Source organism: Homo sapiens, chromosome 6 (assembly GCF_000001405.40).
Source record: "Homo sapiens chromosome 6, GRCh38.p14 Primary Assembly".
Classification (NCBI taxonomy): domain Eukaryota; kingdom Metazoa; phylum Chordata; class Mammalia; order Primates; family Hominidae; genus Homo; species Homo sapiens.
In genome coordinates, this window is record NC_000006.12 from 108,196,895 (window position 1) to 108,218,506 (window position 21,612).

The 21,612-nt window shown below is 42.9% G+C and overlaps 1 protein-coding gene and 1 long non-coding RNA gene across 5 annotated transcripts in view, besides 2 other annotated features; both read right to left on the bottom strand.

The window, feature by feature from the left end:
• Positions 1–1,488: 1,488 nt before the first annotated feature.
• On the bottom strand, positions 1,489–10,475 carry LOC124901369 (uncharacterized). The gene is made up of 2 exons (XR_007059697.1): positions 6,325–10,475; positions 1,489–1,777 (listed from the first exon to the last, which is right to left on the bottom strand). It is a non-coding gene; the product is annotated as an uncharacterized LOC124901369 (long non-coding RNA).
• Positions 6,517–6,596: an enhancer, noted in NCBI's record as "active region_24910". NCBI's record gives its function as "activates an Ori minimal core promoter by ATAC-STARR-seq in GM12878 lymphoblastoid cells {active_cell/tissue: GM12878}" and the evidence as "EXISTENCE:reporter gene assay evidence [ECO:0000049][PMID:35858748]".
• Positions 10,138–10,338: a silencer, noted in NCBI's record as "peak6010 fragment used in MPRA reporter construct". NCBI's record gives its function as "represses an SCP1 promoter by STARR-seq MPRAs in K562 erythroleukemia cells {active_cell/tissue: K562}" and the evidence as "EXISTENCE:reporter gene assay evidence [ECO:0000049][PMID:32103011]".
• SNX3 (sorting nexin 3) overlaps positions 14,328–21,612 on the bottom strand; it is a 49,819-nt gene continuing 42,534 nt past the window's right edge. For 3 of the 4 annotated variants that reach the window (NM_001300929.2, NM_152827.4, NM_003795.6), the window contains 2 exons: positions 17,604–17,728; positions 14,328–15,360 (listed from right to left, as the gene is read on the bottom strand). In NM_001300929.2, the coding sequence (NP_001287858.1) occupies positions 15,255–15,360; positions 17,604–17,728 (231 nt within the window). In that variant the 3' untranslated portion in view covers positions 14,328–15,254. The remainder of the gene's footprint in view (positions 15,361–17,603; positions 17,729–21,612) is intronic. The other variant, NM_001300928.2, reaches the window with a different exon arrangement.

Sequence of the window (21,612 nt, forward strand, 5' to 3'; positions counted from 1 at the left end):
TTAGAGTTAATATCTCTTCAAAAATCGTGTGTAGGGGCTGGGCGCAGTGGCTCATGCCTGTAACCCAGCATTTTAGGAGGCCGAGGTAGGCGGATCACCTGAAGCCAGGAGTTCAAGACCAGCCTGGGCAACATGGTGAAACCCCATCTCTACTAAAAATACAAAAAATATAAATAGCTGGGCGTGTTGGTGCAAACCTGTAATCCCAGCTACTAGGGAGGCTGAGGCAGGAGAATCAGTTGAACCCGGGAGGCGGAAATTGCAGTGAGCGGAGATCCCGCCACTGCACTCCAGCCTGTGTGACAGAATGAGACTGTCTCAAAAAAAAAAAAAAATATATATATATATATATATATATATGTGAAATACATATACACGCACACATATATATGCATATGTGTGTGTGTGTGTGTGTGTGTGTGTGTGTGTGTATCTCACATGTGGGTGGACCAGGTGCGGTGGCTTATTCCTGTAATCCTAGCTGCTTGGGAGGCTGAGGCAGAAGGATGGCTAGAGCCCAGGAGTTCAAGGCTGCAATAAGTTTTGTTTGTGCCATTGCACTCCAGCCCAGGCAACAGAGATCCTGACCCTGGAAAAAAAAAAAGAAGAAAGAAAAGAAAAAGAAAAGAAAAAACAACAACAACTGTGGGTCACACTGGAGCTGCTTCTCCACGGGGCTGTTCTCCCCCACCTGGGCACTGGCTCTCCTGGAAGGCCGTGCCGCAGGACATGTCAGCACCTTGTGGCTCTAGGTCACATCTGCTCCAGGTGCCTTTGTTCCAGTAACTCAATACTCAGATGATGGGGTAGTACGAAGGGCCCACATTTTGCAGCTGGTGGAGATCTGGGCAGTCAGCACAGGGAAGGGGGCAGTGAGGGATGGCTTGGCTCATGCTGGGCCTTGCTCCTGGCAGCCCGGGCCTCTCTCTCTGCACACACAGGCTGCACTTGCCAGCATCTCTTCTCTCCCAAGCCGAAACCGTCTGGCAGTCTCTTTGACCTGTTCACTTTCCTCCTCTTTGGTGTCTTGGTGGTCCAGAATTATCTGCAGAAAGGAAAATGCCTGCCTTACCTTCCTTTATTTGCCTTAAACCTCCCAAATCTGGGTCTAGCCCAGCTATAAGCAGAGGCTGAGCAAGCAGGCCCCGGAGTGAGGCTGGGCCCAGAAAATGGCTCCAGAAACCACCAGATGACCACGAGTAGACTATGGTGAGCACTTGGAGTAACTGCCATATGATTCCACCCAAAATCTGGCTGCAGCTCAACTTCTTTCAGAAAGAGAGAGGGAGCTGCCACGTCTGAAAAATCAAGTCAGTGACCAGCCCAGCCACCTGCCATGTCCTAGCCTGAGTTTTGTTTCAGGGCCACGGTCATGAACTTATTCTTCGCTTTGTTATGGGATCTCTGGGGTGTTGATTTTTCTGGCTAGAAACCTCTGTGGCCTGAGTTTCTGTCCTGCATCCAGGAAGAATGAGGTACACAGACAAGTGAAGGGTGAAGAAGATGAAGAGTTTTATTTAGTGTTAAAACAGCTCAGAGGAGACCCACAGTGGGTAGCTCCTCTTTGCAGGCAGATCATCCCATGGAGTGTTCAGCTCTCAGCAGAGAGGAGGCCCTGGAGGGGTTGGCTCCTCTCTGCAGGCAGGTCATTTGGATGTCTCTGCAGGTCTCTGAAGCTCTCAGCAGAGAGGGTCGTCTTGTCTTCCCATCGTCTCTCTGCCCTCTTCTCCTCTGGCCATCCTCTGCCCTGCTCTGGCTGAACCCAGCTTTCATGGACCTCAGAGGGGAGGAAGTGGGTGCCAATTGGTCCATGGGCGGCCATGGGTGCCGTGAAGAGGCACCACCAGTCCCCACTCCAGTCTGTGGGACTGGCAGCCTGGCCTTCAGCCTTCAAGCCCTCTCTGGCCTGCAAGTGGGGCCTTGCTGGGGACCTGCCCCCTTCAGGCCAGGACTCTGTCTGCCACTGCCATTCAAGGCCCGGGGGGCTCAGCCCCAACACCACTCCAAGATAGGAGCAGGCGCCAGGAGTGGAGAGAGGCCAGTCAGTGGGAACAGACACCCTCGAACCTGTAGGGATGCGGAGGAGGTGGGGAGTGTCCTTCCTGGGGCCTCTGAATGTGCAGGCTGCAGCGATGCAGAGGTCCAGCACCTAGGAGGGCCAGGCAGTGGGAGCAGACACCCCCCAATCTGCAGGGATTGGGGCGGGGAGTTTCCTTCCTGGGGCCCCCCGAGGGTACAGGCTGCAGAGACGCCGGGTCCTGTGCCTAGGAGGGTGGCTGTAGTCTCAGCAGATCCTGCCTGCACCCAGCCCTCCTCCAAGAGCATAAGGAGCCTCGAATTCACAGCTGCAGTTTGGGTGGCTGTAGCCCCGCCCAGGAGTCGTGGGACTCCTGCCTGCTCCACAGAGCAGGAGGCCTGGGTCTGCAGCTGTGGTTTGGGAGGCTGCGGCAGCTCTGGGAGTTCCCATCCCAACTCAGAAAGGGCAGAGCTCCCGATGGGGCTCTGACTGGCTCCACGGAGTGTGCAGCCCCAGCCGTGCCTCCCTGCTGCAGTCGGCGTGATGGCAGCATTTAAGTACAAGCCATAAGAATCGTTATAAATGACCAATAAAATAACTGGGGTGATAATTTAAATATATATGTTGCCTGGTTTCTGAGGGGATAAAAACCAACTTACATTTTCTCATCAGCTTCATATCCCTCATATTGTCTTAATTTTAGTTTTGTTTCTTAATTACCTTATTTTATTTTATTTTACTTTTTTTTGAGAGCTGGTCTTGGTTTGTTACCCAGGATGGAGTGCAGTGGCATGATCTCATCTCACTGCAGGCTGCATCTGTTGGGCTCAAGCGATCCTCCCACCTCGGCCTCCTGAGTAGCTAGGACTACAGGTGGGCACCACCACGCCCAGCTAATTTTTGTATTTTTTGTAGAGACAAGGTCTTCCTATGTTGCCCAGGCTGGTCTTGAACTCCTGGGCCCAAGCAATTCACTCACCTCAGCCTCCCAAAGTGCTGGGATTGCAGGCATGGGCCACTGAGGCTGGCCTTAATTGCCTTATTAATACAGATTCACGGCATGAAAGGAAGGGCGCAATGGTAAAACCTACCAAAGAAATTGAAGCTGTGTAACTAGATACATCAGCTCTGAAAAATCAACAAATTATTCTCTAGGACTGTAGTCCTTTATTTCAAAAAGGATTCTCAAATGCATATGTTAGTGGAATTGGCAAATTTACTAAAATTTCCATTTGCTTTGAATTTTTATGTGGTGCACACATTCACTCTAGGAGGTGCTGCCTGTCTCTGGGAGAGAATCAAAGAGAGAAGAGGAAGCTTTAGGACCTGACCCCCGGGGCCCGGGAGGCTGGACCTCACACTGTCAGTGCCTTCTTCCTCCAGAGAGGTACAGTCATGGAGGTCAGCAGGCCTGCAAGACAAGATCTGGACAGTTTGAATTTTTTTGGCGGTGGTGGTGGGGGGACGGAGTTTCGCTCTTGTCGCCCAGGCTGGAGTGCAGTGGTGTGATCTTGGCTCACCGCAACCTCTGCCTCCCAGGTTCAAGTGATTCTCCTGCCTGGAGACAGGGTAGAATCCCAGACTGGTCTCAAACTCTTTGCCTCAAGGGATCCTCCCACCTGGGCCTTTAAGTTGTCTTTTCATCTACATTTTCAAAAAAATCTATCACGTAGTTTTTAATTTGCATTATTTAATTTATTTATTTAGAGACGTGGTTTCGCTCTGTCACCCAGGCTGGATGGAGTGCAGTGGTGCACAGCTCACTGCTGCCTTGACCCCCTGGGCTCAAGCCACCCTCCCACCTTGGCCTCTTGAGTAGCTGGGACCATAGGCACACGCCACCACGCCCGGCTAATTTCCCCTGCTTCTTTCTTAATATGGAGGTACTGACTCAGTGTTTACATTTGAGGCTTTCTTCTGATTCCCCCTGCCCGAGGGCTTTGTCTCACAGTGCTCTTGCCAACTGCTTCCCCGCAGGCCCTCCCCAGCAGCAGTGCCAGGGCTGAGGACAAAGTGCACCAGGCAAGCTTCTGTTTGGTGCTGAAATGTGTGGGAATGACTATGGGAAGGTTAGAGAGTGGTCAGTGGTGTCGCATTTCTGCACGAGTACAGATCCAGGATAGAGAAACATATTTCCATTTCTCAGTAAATTCTTAGAAATCAGGAATACTTCAAGGAACTATTTTTAATTTTTTTGGTCTTTTAAGCAAATCATTGATATGTGTGCAACATGGATGACTCTTAAAACATTATGTGGAGCGAAAGAAGCCAGTCCGAATAGAAGTGTAGTGACTGGCCCAAGTCTGGGTGACTTCAAAGCCTGTGTTCTTTCAACCACTCCCCAACGGCCCCCCAGCTCCCTGAATCCCAGGCCTCTCCCCTTGGTTTCTAGTCTGAGCCCCAGGTCGGCTGTTAGGGGAGGCCCTTGGACAAGTCCCTTCCCATAATGAGAGGCTTAGATGAGATTGCTTCTAAGATTTGTTATAGTTCTAACATCCTAGCACCTTCCAAGTCTATTTCTTTTAAAAAATTGACTTGTTTTTGGCCGGGTGCAATGGCTCACACCTGTCATCCCAGCACTTTGGAAGCTGAGGCGGGCGGATCACAAGGTCAGGAGTTTGAGACCAGCCTGACCAACATGGTGAAACCCTGTCTCTACTAAAAATACAAAAATTAGCTGGGTGTGGTGGCACTTGCCTGTAATCCCAGCTACTCAGGCTGAGGCAGGAGAATCGCTTGAACCCGGGAGGCAGAGGTTGTAGTGAGCCGAGATGGCGCCACTGCACTCCAGCCTAGGCGACAGAGTGAGACTCCACCTCAAAAAAAAAAAAAAATTAATTTACTTTTTGAATAGTTAATAGTCACATGATACAAAGCTCAAAAGGATATATATGTCAGAGACCAGGAAACTAAAGAGACAGGAGGACTAAGTGAAATATGGTTTCCTGGAATGGATCCTGGAACAGAAAAAGGATATTCTTTAAAAACTAGTGAAAGTGGCCCAGCACTGTGGCTCACACCTGTAATCCCAGCACTTTGGGAGGCCAAGATGAGTGGATCACTTGAGCCCAGGAGTTGGAGACCAGCATGGGCAACACAGTGAGACCCGCACCCCCATCTCTAAAAAAATTTGAAAAATAATTTTAAAAAAAATTAGTGAAAGTCAAAGTTTGGAATTTGGTTAGTAACAATGTACCAATGCTAGTTTCTTTCTTTCTTTCTTTTTTTTTTTGAGACGGAGTCTCACTCTGTTGCCCAGGCTGGAGTCCAGTGGCACAATCTCGGCTCACTACAACCTCTGCCTCCTGGGTTCAAGCGATTCTCTGGCCTCAGCCTCCTGAGTAGCTGGGATTACAGGTGTGTACCACCATGCTCGGCTAATTTTTGTGTTTTTGGTAGAGATGGGGTTTTACTATGTTGACCAAGCTGGTCTCGAACTCATGGTCTCAAGTGATCGCCCACCTTGGCCTCCCAAAGTGTTGGGATTACAGGTGTGAGCCACCACACCTGGCCCAGTGCTAGGTTCTTAGTTTTGACAAATATGCCATGGTCCTGTAAGATGTCAGCATGAAGGGGTATATAACTCTTTGTACTCTTACAACTTTTCTGTAAATCTAAAATTATTCCAAAATAGGCCAGGCACAGTGGCTTATGCCTATAATCCCAGTACTTTGGGAGGCCAAGGTGGGTGGATCACCTGAGGTCATGAGTTTGAGACCAGCCTGGTTAAGATGGTGAAACCCCGTCTCTACTAAAAATACAAAAATTAACCAGGCGTGGTGGCAGGTGCCTGTAATCCCAGCTACTTGGGAGGCTGAGGCATGAGAATCACTCGAACCTGGGATGTGGAGGTTGCAGTGAGCTGAGATTGTGCTACTGCACTCCAGCCTGGGCGACAAGAGCAAGACTCTGTCTCAAAGAAAAAAAAATTATTCCAAAATAAAAAGGGTTTTTGTGTTTTTTGTTTTTAAAGTAATGTTTTCCTTTTGCCCGAGTCATTGAGCCACCCAGTCCCCAAGCCAGACAACCAACGTTCAATGTTATCTGTTTCTTATATAATCTTTCAGATATATTCAATTAATATTCAAAGAAAATGTATATTCTACAAATATATCTCCAAATAGAAAGTGTGTCTCTGAGATAAATTCCTAGAAGTGGGATTCCTGGGCATATAGTTTTCATAGTTATTGCCAAATTGCCTTCCATAGAAGTTGTACCAATTTATCCTCCCACCAGACAATGTGTGTGAGGACCTGTTGTATCATCAACACAGACTGTGGTCTGAGAGTGAACTGGTATTCACTTACCTCAGTTTAAGTCAGACTGTCAACTCTCAAAGTGCTCTTGAAAAAAACTTCTCTAGAAAGCTGCTACAAAATGGCGGCTCCATTCTCGAGGGAGTAGAGGCAAGCAGGGAGCTGGCTGCAGTGGCAAAGGGCAGCAAGGCCATGAAGAAGCGCTTGCCAAATGATTAACATTCCTGTCGCCAATTACTACTGTCCTCAAGAGGAGAAGACATTCACAGAAGGGCATTGTCTCTGCTCCACAGCACACAAAGGGTCAAGCCTCACAGATTTGCTCCTAGTTGGGGGAAAAACCCTCACAGGTCAAAGTGTTCAGATTACAGATTCAGGAAAATCCCTTTGCAGAAAGAAGACAGCAAATCCCCAGTGAAGTTGAAAGGACAAAACTTTCTTCACCTCAGAGACTCTCCAATGAATAAACCGGTTAAACATGGTTTGGATTTAGTGAACATGAAAACAACTGGATTAAAGTATAATCTAGCTAGAAAGGAAAGGACATGTGCTGAGACAACTAGCTAAGTAATGACAAAGCTGCAGTGTTTACATCTGTCAAGCAGGAACGGCCATTCCAGCTTTATAACTGAATTCTCTTAAATGTTTAATTTTTCTTTAGCTCAACGTGAGCCTCTGCTCGTGTTGGCCTCTTTGATAACACTGGCACCAAGGCAACTGTGTGAGCACGACGGGTGTAGAGTCCAGGAGTCTGCAGGCAGCAGCTGTCAGGGCGAGTGTTCGGCATGGGCCTTGGCCAAGCTGCACACGGTCCAGCTTGGAGGCAGCATCCATCGCACAGGTGCAGGTTTTAGAATCACAAAGACTTGGGTTTAAATCCCAATTGTACTTTTTACTGGCTGTGTGACCTTGGACAAATTAAACTCTGTCCCATTTCCTCTCTTGGTAAAATGAAGATAATACCCATCCAATAGGGTTGTTTTGAGAATTAAATGAGGTAATACATGTAAAAGCCTACACCGAAACCTAAACACTCAATAGGTGGTCGGATCACCAATCTCTTTCTGTCTCTCCTGCTCCTGCTCCCCCTTGCACACACACCTGACCACCAAGTGAACCTGTTCCACGTCAGACTAACTCCAGGCACTTCAGATCTTACTCTGTGACAGGAGCATTCAGAGTTTTTACATTAGGGCTTCTTAAACGTGTTTGTAAAGATCCCTACTCAAATATCTGTTTGTAAAAGTATAAAATAAAATACATGGGATTATAAAAGAAACCAACTTATTGAAGTATGTTTATTAAAATATTTTTAAAACTTGTGATAAAATATGTGCTTCTTTGGAAAATGTTAAACAAGCTGGGTGCGGTGGCTCACGCCTGTAATCCCAGCACTTTGGGTGGCCGAGGAGGGCGGATCACTTGAGGCCAGGAGTTTGGGACCCGCCTGGCCAACATGGTGAAACCCTGACTCTACTGAAAAACAAAACAAAACAAAAAATTAGGCATGTGTGTGCCTGTAGTTCCAGCTACTTGGGAGGCTGAGGCTGGAGAATCGCTTGAACCCGGGAGGCGGAGGCTGCAGTGAGCCGAGATTGCACCACTGCACTCTAGCCTGGGTGACAGAGTGAGACCCTGTCTGAAAAAAAAAAAAAAAAAAAAAAATTAAACAAGATCAGGGAGTGAGTCTGATAACTACAATAATTTTCAAGCAGTGATCAGTGTATTCCAAGATTTGCAACAACAAATGTGATATAATTAATATACTTGCATTTTCTAATTGGTGACAGTCAAAAGTCCTGCTTCTACTAATACTCTGGTTTACTTCCACATTCATAATGGAAGAAATAATTAATTTCAGTTACAGAATATTAAATATGACCCCCTAACTCTCTTCCTTAGAGCAGAAGAAAAAAATATTAAAGATACACCGTTTTCCCATTCAAATTAGACTCCAGGTATTATAAAATATTACCACCTCTGTTCTCAAGACTAGTGATAAAAGATACTTACAAACTGTCAAGCCAGCAGTCCCTTATTTTACTTTTTTCTCTGACTTCTTTCAAGATTTTATCTTGGTCTTTGGTTTTTTGCAGTTTGAACGTGACATACATGACATCCCTAGGTGTTTTTGTTATTTTTTTTTTTTTTACCAACAAGGTTATTCTTTTTAAATTTATTCCGCTTGGTGTTCTCTCAGCATCCTGGATCTGTGGTTTGGTTCACCAATTTTGGAAAGGTCTCAGCCATTATTACTTCAAACATGTAGACAGTTTGAACAATACAGGTTTGAACTGCGCAGGCCCACTCATACGTAGCCTTTTTCAATAAAAGTAACAGAATGTGCCTGTCCCTCCTGCCTCCCCTTCCACCTCCTCCACCTCTCTGCCTCCCCACCCCTGAGACAGCAAGACCAACCCCTCCTCTTCCTCCTCTTCCTCCTCCTCAGCCTACTCAACATGAAGATGAGGATGAAGACCTTTACGGTGATCCACTTCCACTTAATGAATAGTGAATATGTTTTCTCTTCCTTATGATTTTCTTAGTAACATTTTCTTTAGCTTACTTTAAGAATACAGTACACAATACATGTAACATACAAAATATGTGTTAAGTATATTATCAGTAAGGCTTCTGGAAAACTAGGCTATTAAATTTTGGGGGAGTCAAAAGTTATATGCAAATTTTCAACTATATGCAGGGTTGGCACACCTAACCCCTGCATTGTTCAACTGTATATATTTTTTTGCTCTACTCTCTTTCAGGTATTCCAATTACACATTTGCTATACCTTTTGAAATGATCCCAGTTTTTGGATGGTCTGGGTTTTTATCCTACTCTTTCTCTTCCCATTTCAGTTTGGGAAGTTCTTATTGACCTACCTTCAAATTCACTAATTGTTTCCTAAATTTGTCAAGTCTATTTATGAGTCCATCAAAAACATTTTTCATTTTTATTATAGTGATTTTGATTTTTAGCATTTCCTTTTGAGTTTCCATCTCTCTGATTACCCATCTATTCTTGCACGTCTACTTTTTCCATTACAACTTTTAATATGTTAGGTTATAATTATCAAACAGGGAATCTGTGTCATATCCAACTCTGGTTCTGATTGCTTTCTCTTTTCAAACTGTTTTTACTTGCTTTTTGGCATGGCATGCCTTCAAATTTTTTGTTGAAAGCCAGGTATGTTGCACTGGGTAATAGAAACTGAGGTAGACAGGCCTTAAGTGTGAAGGTTCATGGTAATCTTGCTGGAGGACGGACTATGTTTAATGTTTGCTGTAGTTACAGGTGCCAGAGGCTTCACCTTCCTCTAGTGTCTTTGCTTTTGCCTGTCTCTTAACTTTGGGTTTCCCTAATTACTCCTCCACAAAGGGGGACTTCCAGCTGTAATCCACTACGATTACACTCGAATCCCACTGGTGCGGTGGTAAAGTGTGGGAAGTGGGATATTCTATAATCTTCAGATTAAATCTGTGTCTTAGTGGGCCTGTGAGCTTCACAAGTGTTTTTCCAGTGGTAGAGCGTTTCCTTTCTGGCCCCCTACTCCCTTCCCTGGCTGCAGCATTTCCAGTCTATTTCCTTGAAATCCTGACCCCTCTTGACTAAGTTCCCATCCCTGCCCCATGTAAGTAAGACAGGAAGCCTAGAGGGGGGCTAGAGTGGGAAGAACGCCCTTCCCCCAACTGGGATAGGCTCTGGGAGTCTTTCACCCTGGAGAGTAAGCCTTCGTAATAAAGGTTTTGGACATTATTTCATAATGATTATTAATCCCTTTTCCACGTCAGAGCCACACATCTTACTAGATCTTCACTGAAAATGTGGTGGGATTCTTGGAGGTGAAGCCCACGAACTTGTGGAGACCCCTCTTAACACTGTGATCCCCAGGGACTTCTCACTCTCACGCTCACCCACACTCAGCCGCTAGCAATTCATTGCCATCTAAGTGTTTCTAACTAGCTTATGGCTCCAGTAGCTTTTGCTCCAGATAAGCAGATTTTGGCTGTCTCTCTTTAGATAGCCCTGTTTCTCCAGATTTTAGGGTGGTGGTTTGCCCTTCAACCTCAATTCTCTGATGGGTCCAAGAAAAGTCATTGATTTTGCATTTGTACAGATTTTTCTTGTTGAAAGGACAAAGTGATAACTTTTTCTCTTGAGACAGGGTCTCACTCTGTCACCCAGGCTGGAGTGCAGCAGCGCAATCATGGCTCACTGCAGCCCCACCCTCCCAGGCTCAGGGGATCCCCCACCTCAGTCTCCCAAGTAGTTGGGACTGCAGGTGTGTACCACCATCCCTGGCTAATTTTTTTATTTTTATAGAGACTGGGTTTTGCCATGTTGTCCAGGCTGGTCTTGAACTCCTGGGCTCAAGTAATCTGCCTGCCTCGGCCTCCCAAAGTGCTGTGATTACAGGTGCACACCACTGTGCCAGGCTTGGTGCCAACTTTCAAGCTTTTTACCTGTAGAAGCTTAAACCAGAATTATTTCATTCTGGCCATTCCCTTCCATCCACCTGAACTGCTGTGTCCCTTCTTGTCCTCACATTTGCGATGACTACTGTCCCTCTTAGTGAGTCTTTTCATGACTGGTGTTCGATCTCTCCTGTCTGTTAGCACTTTGCACAATCAAGTGCTTGGTGTTGCTAGTTGAGTCCACTGGGTCGCTTTCATTTCTGGCACTCACTCTACAGTAAAGAGCATCTGGGATGAGGTGTTGTTGCCCAGCATCCTCTAAGCTTCCTTTGTGCTTTTAAATTAATTTCCCTGGCCTCCAAATCAGTCTTATTTTCTTAGCAAGGTTGGAATAAAGCAAACTTCACTTTCTGTAAATCAGGATTTACAAAAGTAATTTCTCAAGATCTGGTAAGTCCTTTTTTCTCAATTTCTTGATTTCTTTTTGTAATGACTTAAGTAGCCAGGTAAGATCGGATTTGGCCAAGTTCAAGGAAATCATAGGGCCTCCTATCTAAATGACTAAACCTGACAGTTTTGGAATTACTTGGGAAACTTTAAAAAAGAAAATCCTAAATGCAGTCCTAAGAGAGTAATTGTGGTGGGCAGCTATGTTTAGGAAAATACGATACTTCTAGTAAGCTGTGCATGTCCAAAAGAGCTACTTACACCTAAACTTAAAATCAAAACTAAAAAACATACTAGGGAGACAAAGTGAAAATACTATTAGAAAAACCAAACCAAACCTATCCATTCGTAACAAAGGACATAGGAATTGTTTAACATTCACCCTTTCACTCATTCAGTAACTGTATTGAAAGTCATAGGCACGGCTGGGCGCGGTGGCTCACGCCTGTAATCCTAGCACTTTGGGAGACTGAGGCGGGTGGATCACTTGAGGTCAGGAGTTCGAGACGAGCCTGACCAACATGGTAAAACCCCGTCTCTACTAAAAAAATACAAAATTAGCTGGGCATGGTGGCGCATGCCTGTAATCCCAGCTACCTCAGGAGGCTGAGGCAGAAGAATTGCTTGAACTCAGGAGGCGGAGGTTGCAGTGAGCCAAGATCACGCCACTGCACTCCAGCCTGGGGAACAGAGTGACACTCCATCTCAAAAAAAAAAAAAAAAAAAAAAAAAAAGTCATAGGCCCTGTCCACAAGAAGGAAGTACACCAAGCCATGGCCTTTAGAATCAAACGTCTTCACAGTTTAAATGCAGTACCATCCTCTCCTGGTTAACCTTGAAAATTCTGCTCAAGCTTTCAAAACCTCAGTCTTCTCATTTGTAAAAATAACATTATCTACTTCATAGGGAAGTTCTGTGACAGAGATCACAGTGGAATTATTACAAACTTATTCTCTCTATCCCAAAACAGTTTTAACTCCTTTCCTAGCCTAAACACTGGCATATTGTTAGTAATAGCAGCTGGCACCCACTGAGTATTAATCTATATGCGAGGGAGTGGGCTAAACTCTGTCCATCCATACCTCAAACACATTTTATCTGTAAAGGCCTTAGAGGCCACAGCCTTATTCTTTCATTGGCCATATTCGCCCCACTCATGTAACCAAAAAAGGCAAAGCAAGCAGAGGCAACAGGACGGAATTTTAATCTAGGATGGCCTCCTAGCAAAGAGGGCTGAGTGGAAAAACCATGGGATGTATAAAAAGGAGATGCTCCTCCTCCCCTAACACCCCTTCCCCAAAGTCATAATCACTACCAGGGGTCATGATGTTAGAACCTCTGGGTAGGAAACCAAATACCAGATAAACCTATTCTGGAACTGCCATGGCAAATGAGTAAGAGTGGTACCATTTGCTACTACTACTATTATGACTACCACTGCCAACTGATAACTATTATTATGCTTTTATATGTTCCGACACTGTCCTATGAATTTTACATGTAATCCTCGATGTAAGTTATAAAGTTACCACTGATATTGACCCTTTATAACTGGCAGGAGTTGAGACAAGGCAATTAAATACTTGAATAGTGGACACAGAGCCTGAGATTCCTTAGAATTATCCATCTATTGCTTTGTAACTCACTGCCAAATTAATTTTTTTTTAGGAAGATTCTTAAGGGATTCTGGAACCCCCTCCTATGTAGTTAGAATTAAGAGCACCTGCATTTTTACTTCAGCGGGTTAAAGGCATAGTTTCACTATAAACCATGGTCTCAATTTCCTACAAGATAACACTGAAAAGCACCTTCCTCCATTAGGCAAAAACACGTTACCTGGAATAAACTTTTCACCTACTTTAAAACCCTTGACTTTTCAAGAGCATGCCTGCCCTTAGGAAATTGTGGTAGAGGTTAAAAGCGGGCAGGCTAGTACAAGCCATCCTAAACCACGCTATTCCTTGTCTGTAAATGATCAAAATCAAGACTCCACGGTGAGTGGAAACCTTGACACTACTAACATTTTTCTGCTGTGGGAGGCTGGCTTGTTCATTTTAAGAGGTTTAGCAGCATCTCTGACATCCACCTGTTAGAGTCCAGTAACATTCCCTAGTTGAGACAACCAAAAATATCTTCAGACATTGCCAAACGTCCCCTGGGGGACAAAATCATCCCTGGTTGAGAACCACTGCTTTATTTTAATGTTTAACAGAAAAAAAAATTTTCTTTTGAGACTGGGTCTCTCACTCTTGCCTAGGCTAGAATTAAGTGGCATGATCTTGGCTCACTGCAACCTCAACTTCCTGGGCTCAAGATACACTTCCACCTAGCCACCCAAGTAGCTGGGACTACAGGCACACACCACCATGCCCAGCTAATTTTTAAACTTTTTGTAGAGACATAGTCTCACTATGTTACCCAGGTTGGTCTCAGAACTCCGGGCCTCAAGCAATCCCCCTGCCTTGGCCTCCCAAAGTGCTGGCACTACAGGTGAGAGCCACTGTGCCTTGCCGAGAACCACTGCTTTAAAGAATTATTTGGTTTTGCAGAGCTACCATTATTCTGTTCTGCATACCCAAAACTGACAGCCTCTGACTTTACTTCTCTAGTTCACTGAAATAAAATTTACATGTTGTTTAGCTTTGTACCTTCTTACAGTAATTGAAACATCCAGTATTAGGGAACTGTGAAATACTGTTTGAGCAACAAAAGGCCTTATGGGGCAACTCTGACTTCTTCCTATGACTTCTATGTGCTTGGTGGACATCCTAGTTTGGCCAAGACCCAAGCTTGTTTCCTTTTAAATGGACTGATCCATCTTCAGAGGAGACGCATCTGCTGTAGGAGGACAAAATTTCTTTACTTTGGGATTTAACTCCAAGTCACAATGGGTCCCCAAACCACCGCAAGTTGTACAAACTAGAGACCACATTCTGGCTGAAAGGTCTGAACACAACACAAGTTAGGCAGCAAGAAGTCATGTGTTTTCTGGTATCTTATCATTTTTGCAGGTCAGGCTAGAAGACTGTGCCCTTCTCTTAAAGAGGATAAAGTGTGCTACTATCCCAAACCAAATTAAAGAGAAAGCACAAACCTGCTGACTAAGAAGAGTTATTACACCCTTGCTAAGTTTGTTTAAACAAGTCACTCAGTTGACTAGGAAAAAACTTCTGAAAAATAGGAGAAATGGTATTTTATCTTTGAAAGTCCTTTTAATAAATGAGATTATAAAGCAGTTTTCAAATACACAAAGTGCTTCAAAATGATTCAATAAGCCTTAAGCAATACATTTTTTAGTATATCACTTTTGTTGTTGTTAAAAATACCCCATTCAATGGATGGAAGTATATTTGATATCACCACTGTTTAAAGGGAATGGAGTTACAGGAATGAGAAGTATATAATTAGTAAATAATCCCTCTCAACAAGTGACTTAAGTAGTCACTCATAGAGAGCAAAAAAAGCTGGAGGCAACACAATCAGTGCATATCAGAAATGCATTTTAATTTTTATTTGAAAACAACTTAAATTTTTAGACAAATGATTTTAGTATATAAATTTGCTTTTGTTTTTATACAGAATATAAAGATTTCCCTCATTAATCTTCCATGTGAAGGGTATTACAAGCCTGGAGGAAGATACTTTCTGCACACAAGTATGTATCTTATGTGTGCAGTATTGGAAACCAATGGTGTAGTGCTCCTACACATAAATGGGGTCAAGTGACATCACAAATTAAAAGGGGGAAAGAGAAATATTCTAGTTAATCAGATGCAAGAAGCAAACAAGACGCAAAAACTGTGCAAATAAGACCAAGCCAGTAACTTTAGTTACGACACTGCAGATTACACTGGAATAACAGGTTTGTGAGGCTATAGTGTGCACCACATTAAAACAGCAAGAAAGAGCTATTTATATAGAAAGGCTGGAATGAGGGATTTTTACTAAAGCAAATTAACTTCTTGTCAACTGCCAAAACAAAACAAAACTGAGCATATGAGTGTTAGTATACTGAAGGCATGTTATACCAGTTTCTGTGCAGCATGCTAAAAGTTAGAACTTCTTCACTGGTGCTTATCAATCATTAATAGTCACGTTTTTGCCCCTTCTTGCCAAATTTCAGGCATGTCTTATTTTAGATGGAGTATAGCTTTTATCTATTATTTCATCTTGTAAAAACATGTGAAGACAACGTTCGTTCTGTGCCAGAGGATGACCAGCGACCCTGAGAATAAAAAATATAAATTTAGTCCAATATTTTATACAAGGTGGGGGAGTTCAAAACACATATTTTAAAGTTGAGAAGCATGTATAATTTTTTTTTTTTTGAGATGGAGTCTTGCTCTGTTGCACAGGCTGGAGTGCAGTGGCTGATCTTGGCTCATGGCAACCTCCGTCTCCTGGGTTCAAGTGATTTCGTGCCTCAGCCCCCTGAGTAGCTGGGACTACAGGCGTGTGCCATCATGCCCAGCTAATTTTTATATTTTTACTAGAGACGGGGTTTCACCATGTTGGCCAGGCTAGTCTCAAATCCCTGACCTCAAGTGATCTGCTCACCTCAGCCTCCCAAAGTGCTGGGATTACAGGCGTGAGCCACTGCGCCCGGCTCAGAATCATGTACAGTTTACCAATAAGTATTATTCTGGACTGTCCATAAAGCTATGCACTATCAACTAATGGTATATGTTCTTTTGTTTGGTTCACAACTCTAATTAAGAAAACATTAATCACAAATTTTTCACTGCTTGTGGCACATGTACCCAATTAGCTTTACATCATAGCTGGTGTATTCATAAGAAACTTAAATTAATTTTAATGTTAAAAGTGAAGCATGTCAATTGATCCTAAGAATCTTTTTTTTTTTTTTTTTTTTTTGAGACAAAAGTGTTGCTCTATCACCCAGGCTAGAGTGCAGTGGTGTGATCTTGGCTCACTGCAACCTCTGTCTCCCAGGTTCAAGCGATTCTCCTGCCACAGCCTCCTGAGTAGCTGGGACTACAGGTAAACACCACCACGCCCCACTAATTTTTGTATTTTTAGTAGAGACAGGGTTTCGCCATGTTGGCCAGGCTGGCCTTGGAACTCCTGACCTCAAGTGATCTGCCCACCTCGGCCTCCCAAAATATTGGGATTACAGACATGATCCACTGTACCAGGCCAGAGTCTATTTTAAAGAGGAGAAGATACAGGATTGAAGTTAGAAATACAATGAAGTTCAATAAAAGCCCAAAATACTAAAAAAACAGGCACAAATATCCAGGTATTTTGTTTGTTTTTGCCTGCTTAAAACCACACTGGGCAACCGGACTATTATTTCAGAATTTAAAAATATCTAATATAGGCCAGGCGTGGTGGCTCATGCTTGTAATCCCAGCACTTTGGGAGACCAAGGCAGGCAGATCACTTGAGGTCAGGAGTTTGAGACCAGCCTGGCCAACATGGCGAAACCCTGTCTCTACTAAAAATACAAAAATAAGCCAGACACGATGGTGCGCAACTATAATCCCAACTACTCAGGTGGCTGAGGCATGAGAATCACTTGAACCTGGGAGGTGGAGGTTTCACTGAGCCGAGACTGCACCACTGCACTCCAGCCTGGGCGACAGAGCAAGACTGTCTCAAAAAAAAAAAAAAAAAAATCTAATATAGTACTGCCTTCTCCAAAAGGAAAACAGATTCACAGACAATGAATATTGAGTGCTACAGTAGATAACCAAGGGCTTTATGTAACCCTTTCTCTCCTGTTTACCACTCATGGATCTTCAAATCACTAGATAAAATTTACAGTGTAAGCTCACATTACCATATTCTGTACGATTTGATTTACTTTTGCTAGTTTAAGGCCAATGCACAATTACAGTGAGGTCTTTCTTGGCATAAATCTTTCTAACACTCTGGCTTTCTATTATTTTACAAAATAGCTATATTTCAAATGGGAATAAAATTAAAAGCTAAAAATATTGGTTTGAGCTTATCAAGAGTTTCTAAAGTAAAAAAGAAACAATCCTAAGTCTTCTTACATTTTCAAAAGAATACATTTTACCATGAAAATTAAAAACATGCACCTTTATACAAGACATGCTAATACCTCCATCTGCAATCAAACAAGATGATTGCAAGTACATTGTAAGTTTTATTGTTCATGCTAGAACATACCTTAAATCAGAAAGAATCATAAGTAAAACTGTATTTTTTAAATGCCGTAATTTTAAATGTAATTTGCATAAATTAACCAAGAAAAACAAATACAAAACGTAGGTCAACACAAAGATGCTCATTTCAATCACTCAAATGTGTTAATATTTATCACATGATATTCAACTTGTCAGATACTTTTACTTTGTTTAAATGATATGAAAAGTTAGGAAATGGCTGAAAGAAAAGGCAACAGTGCAGTTTAGCTTAACATCTAAACTACAAGTAGTCACTTAAAGTAGTCCTACACTTTGAGGAATAGGAAGCACTTACTTGTTTATAAACTGCTCCAGCCCTTGTTTTCTTTCCTCAATAAAATTGTCATCAAATATTCCATCATCTCCTCTAAAAGGAAGCTGACGCAAAAACGCTTTCCCAGGGAGCGGGGGAACTACGACCTAAAATGTGAAGACAGAAACTCCTTGATCATGATGACTGGGTTGTGAAAATTTATAGAGCACAACATGAAGACAAAGCATGTCCTCACTATGACAGCCATCGTCCGGTCAAACTAGTTGAAATATAAAAGAGCAAAAAATACACTGAAAAAAGACCAAATGTTTAGACAAATGCAGAATAGCCCATCAGACAAAAGCTCCTAATTCAAAGGCAGGGCCCATAGCTTATATCATTTTTCTTGGCCTTATCAAAGCCCAGGTATACAAAGAGAACACTCACAACACTGAAATAAAGGTTACCATGCCCCTCAGACACTTGTGATGCCACTTGGAGAAGGCAATGCCTTATTGCAATGGAAACTGCAGAGATCAAAATCAACTCTCAATTAAATGAAGAAACGTTAATGTTCTCTCTGCAACATGGTTAGGTAAGAATTCTGGTTTCAGCCGGGCGTGGTGGCTCATGCCTGTAATCCCAGCACTTTGGGAGGCCGAGGCGGGCAGATCACAGGGTCAGGAGATCGAGACCATCCTGGCTAACACGGTGAAACCCTGTCTCTACTAAAAAATACAAAAAATGAGCCGGGCGTGGTGGCGGGCGCCTGTAGGCCCAACTACTCTGGAGGCTGAGGCAGGAGAATGGCATGAACCCGGGAGGCAGAGCTTGCAGTGAGTGGAGATCACGCCACTGCACTCCAGCTGGGCTACAGAGTGAGACTCCGTCTAGAAAAAAAAAAAAAAAAAGATTTCTGGTTTCTTCAACCTCTTACCATCTGCATACAGTCTTTCCTACTTGTGTTTGAGGTGATGACAAAATACCAATAACTCTAGTTGTCACTATTCTGTTTCCTAAATTAAGAAACAAGTCAACTTTCTCCCAAATGCCCTATCCTGCTGTCTTTTCCCAAAGACCTGTCATTTCTCCCTTCTCGCACTATAGGAAGATCCCAAATTTTCCCCTTCAAAGCCTAACCAAGGGTCAACTCCTGCTGATCTCTCCCTTCTGGGAATTATCTGGAGCTCAAATATTATTCTGGGCCAGGTGCAGTGGCTCACATCTGCAATCCCTGCACTTTGGGAGGCCAAGGCAGGCGGGAGGATTGCTTGAGGCCAGGAATTTGACACAAGCCTGGGCACATGTCTACAAAAATAAAAAAAACTTAGCTGGGTGTGGTGGTGTGAGCCTGTAGTCCCAGCTACTTAGGAGGCGGAAGTGGGATGATCACTTGAGTCCAGGAGTTCAGGACTGGAGTGAACTAAAATGTCGCTGCACTCCAGCCTAGGTGACAGCGAGACCCCGTCTTAAAAAAAAAATAAATTTTTAAAAATGTTATTCTGGAGCTCAAAATACTTGTTTTGATTAAATAGCACCTAGCTATTTCACAGGTTAGTTTGGTTTCTCTACCCTAGCACTACTGAGAATCAGATAAGTTTTGTACTGGGGGGCTTTCTTGTGCATTCTTTTCTTTCTTGAGATGGGGTCTTGCTCTGTCACCCAGGCTGGAGTTCCGTGGTGCGATCATGGCTCGCTGCAGCCTCCCCCAGACTCAGATGATCCTCCTGCATCAGCCTCCCAAATAGCCGGGACACTACAGGTACATAGCGTGCTACCACGCCTGGCTAATTTTTCTATTTTTTGTGGAGATGGTGTTTCACTGTGTTGGCCAGGCTGGCATTCTTTTCTTTAGCAGCATCCCTAGCCTCTGCCCACTAGACAACATAGCACCCCCAGCTGAGACAATAAAAAATGTCTCTAGACAGTGTCAAACGTCTCCTGGGGGATAAAACTGCCTTTGGTGGAAAACCATCAATCTATCATACTAATGTCTTCAAATCAAGACCCCTGTCTTAGGCTTCTTGTGGTTATTTTAAGAAAAACTGGGCATACAACAGAAGCTCAAATATCTGTTAAATGACCAACCACTTAGCTGGATCCTTACTTTAAACGCAAACAGAGAAATGTGTAAGCAAACAATCAGAACAAGGAGAAATATATATAGTAAACTGATACATATTTTTCTTTTCACCAATAATACAAATTACACATATTCAAAAAAATTAAAACTTTAAACCCTTGATATAGTTTCTACAACGAGTTGTTTATCCTCAAACAAAATTCAATAGGGTAAAAAAGGGAAAGAGCAACTCGACTTCATATAGATTAACAAAAAACAAAATAAAAACAAAAAAACCAAATGTCCAAATAAACTTTATAATCCCTTCCTAGATTTACTCTCCTCAGATGACCAATGATGAAGATATCTATGGATTTGTCTCCGTAAATTTATGCTAGCATTCTCAGATCTCACCCCCATGTTAACATCTGTTTAGTTGAGAGTTAAAATCTGCAGGGACCTTCTATAACTGAGAAACAAAGGAATGCTAACCATTACGTTCCAGTAGAATGGCTATCTGGTGGGCAGGGAAAAATATCTGTATCTACACAATTATTATTTAAAAAAAGAATTCTGGAACCACTGTGTTAAATAAATGACCACCATTAATTCAGGGTAGAATTTAGCATGAAACTTAAGAAAAGGATAGCTCAAGGATGTCAGTTAAAGAAAGAAGGAAAATGATAAAAAATGTAACAATATATATATAATTAAATATATATAAATTTCATATATAATGGGAATTTAAGAAAAGGATAGCTATGCATTATCCTCTGTAGAGATACACTCTTCCTAACATATTCAAACTAGTCATTCAAATGGATGGGGAGGTGGTAGGCAACAGGATTAATGATCTATAAAAATCATAAATGGCTCATCCAGCTAAGATTCTCTTCTACATCAAATTATTTTTGCTGAAGCAGTCTGAAAACACCTAACTGGAATTCTAACACCAGGTTGGGTGCGGTAGCTCACATATGTAATCCCAGCACTTCAGGAGGCCAAGGTGGGTGGATCACCTGAGGTCAGAAGTTCAAGACCAGCCTGGCCAACATGGTGAAACCCTGTGTCTACTAAAAATACAAAAAATTAGCCGGGCATGGTGGTGCATGCTTGTAACCCCTTTACTCAGGAGGCTGAGGAGAATTGCTTGAGCCTGGGAGGCAGAGATTGCAGTAAGCCGGGACTGCACCACGGTACTCCAGCCTGGGCGAGAGCTAGACACCGTCTCAAAAAAAAAAAAAAAAAATTCTAATACTAATTAAAAAGTCATGAATGCAAAGATATGTGCGTGCATGTGGGGTGAGAAATAGGAGAATATCTGGTGAGCACAATATATTGAAAGCTAAAGCAAACTAGAATAAAAGCTAAAAGATCTGACCATAATACATGTCAGCTAATTTCTAGCTTAGTTTAACAGATCTTAGTTAAAAGTACTAATATACCACAAAATAACTTGATTACATTGTTCTTTGCAATACTGTAATACGAGTAAAACTTTCACATGGATTTAACTCTCAATATATTTAACTGGTCTAATGTTAAATGTGAAGTATTGTGCTTCAAAGGACAACATCAAGAAAGTGAAAAACAACCCAGAGACTGGGAGATATGTGCAAATTATGTATCTGATAGGGAACTCTAAGAGTCTTATATATTCTCGACATAACTCTATAATAAAAAGATGAACCCATTGAAAAAGGCAAAAGCTCTCAATAAAGATGTCTCCAAAGAAGATACATAAATGACCAGTAAGTATATGAAAAGAAAATCAACATTAGTGGCCATTAGAGAAATAAAAATCAAAACCACAATGCAATACCCCTTCACAAACAGTAGGATAGCTATAATAAAGAAGACAGGCAATTGGTAAGGATGTGGAGAAAAGTAGAACCTCACATTGCTGGTAAGAATGTAAAATTACACAGCTGCTTTGGAAAAACGGTCTGCCAATTCCTCAAAAGGTTAAAAAGAGTTATGACCCAGCAA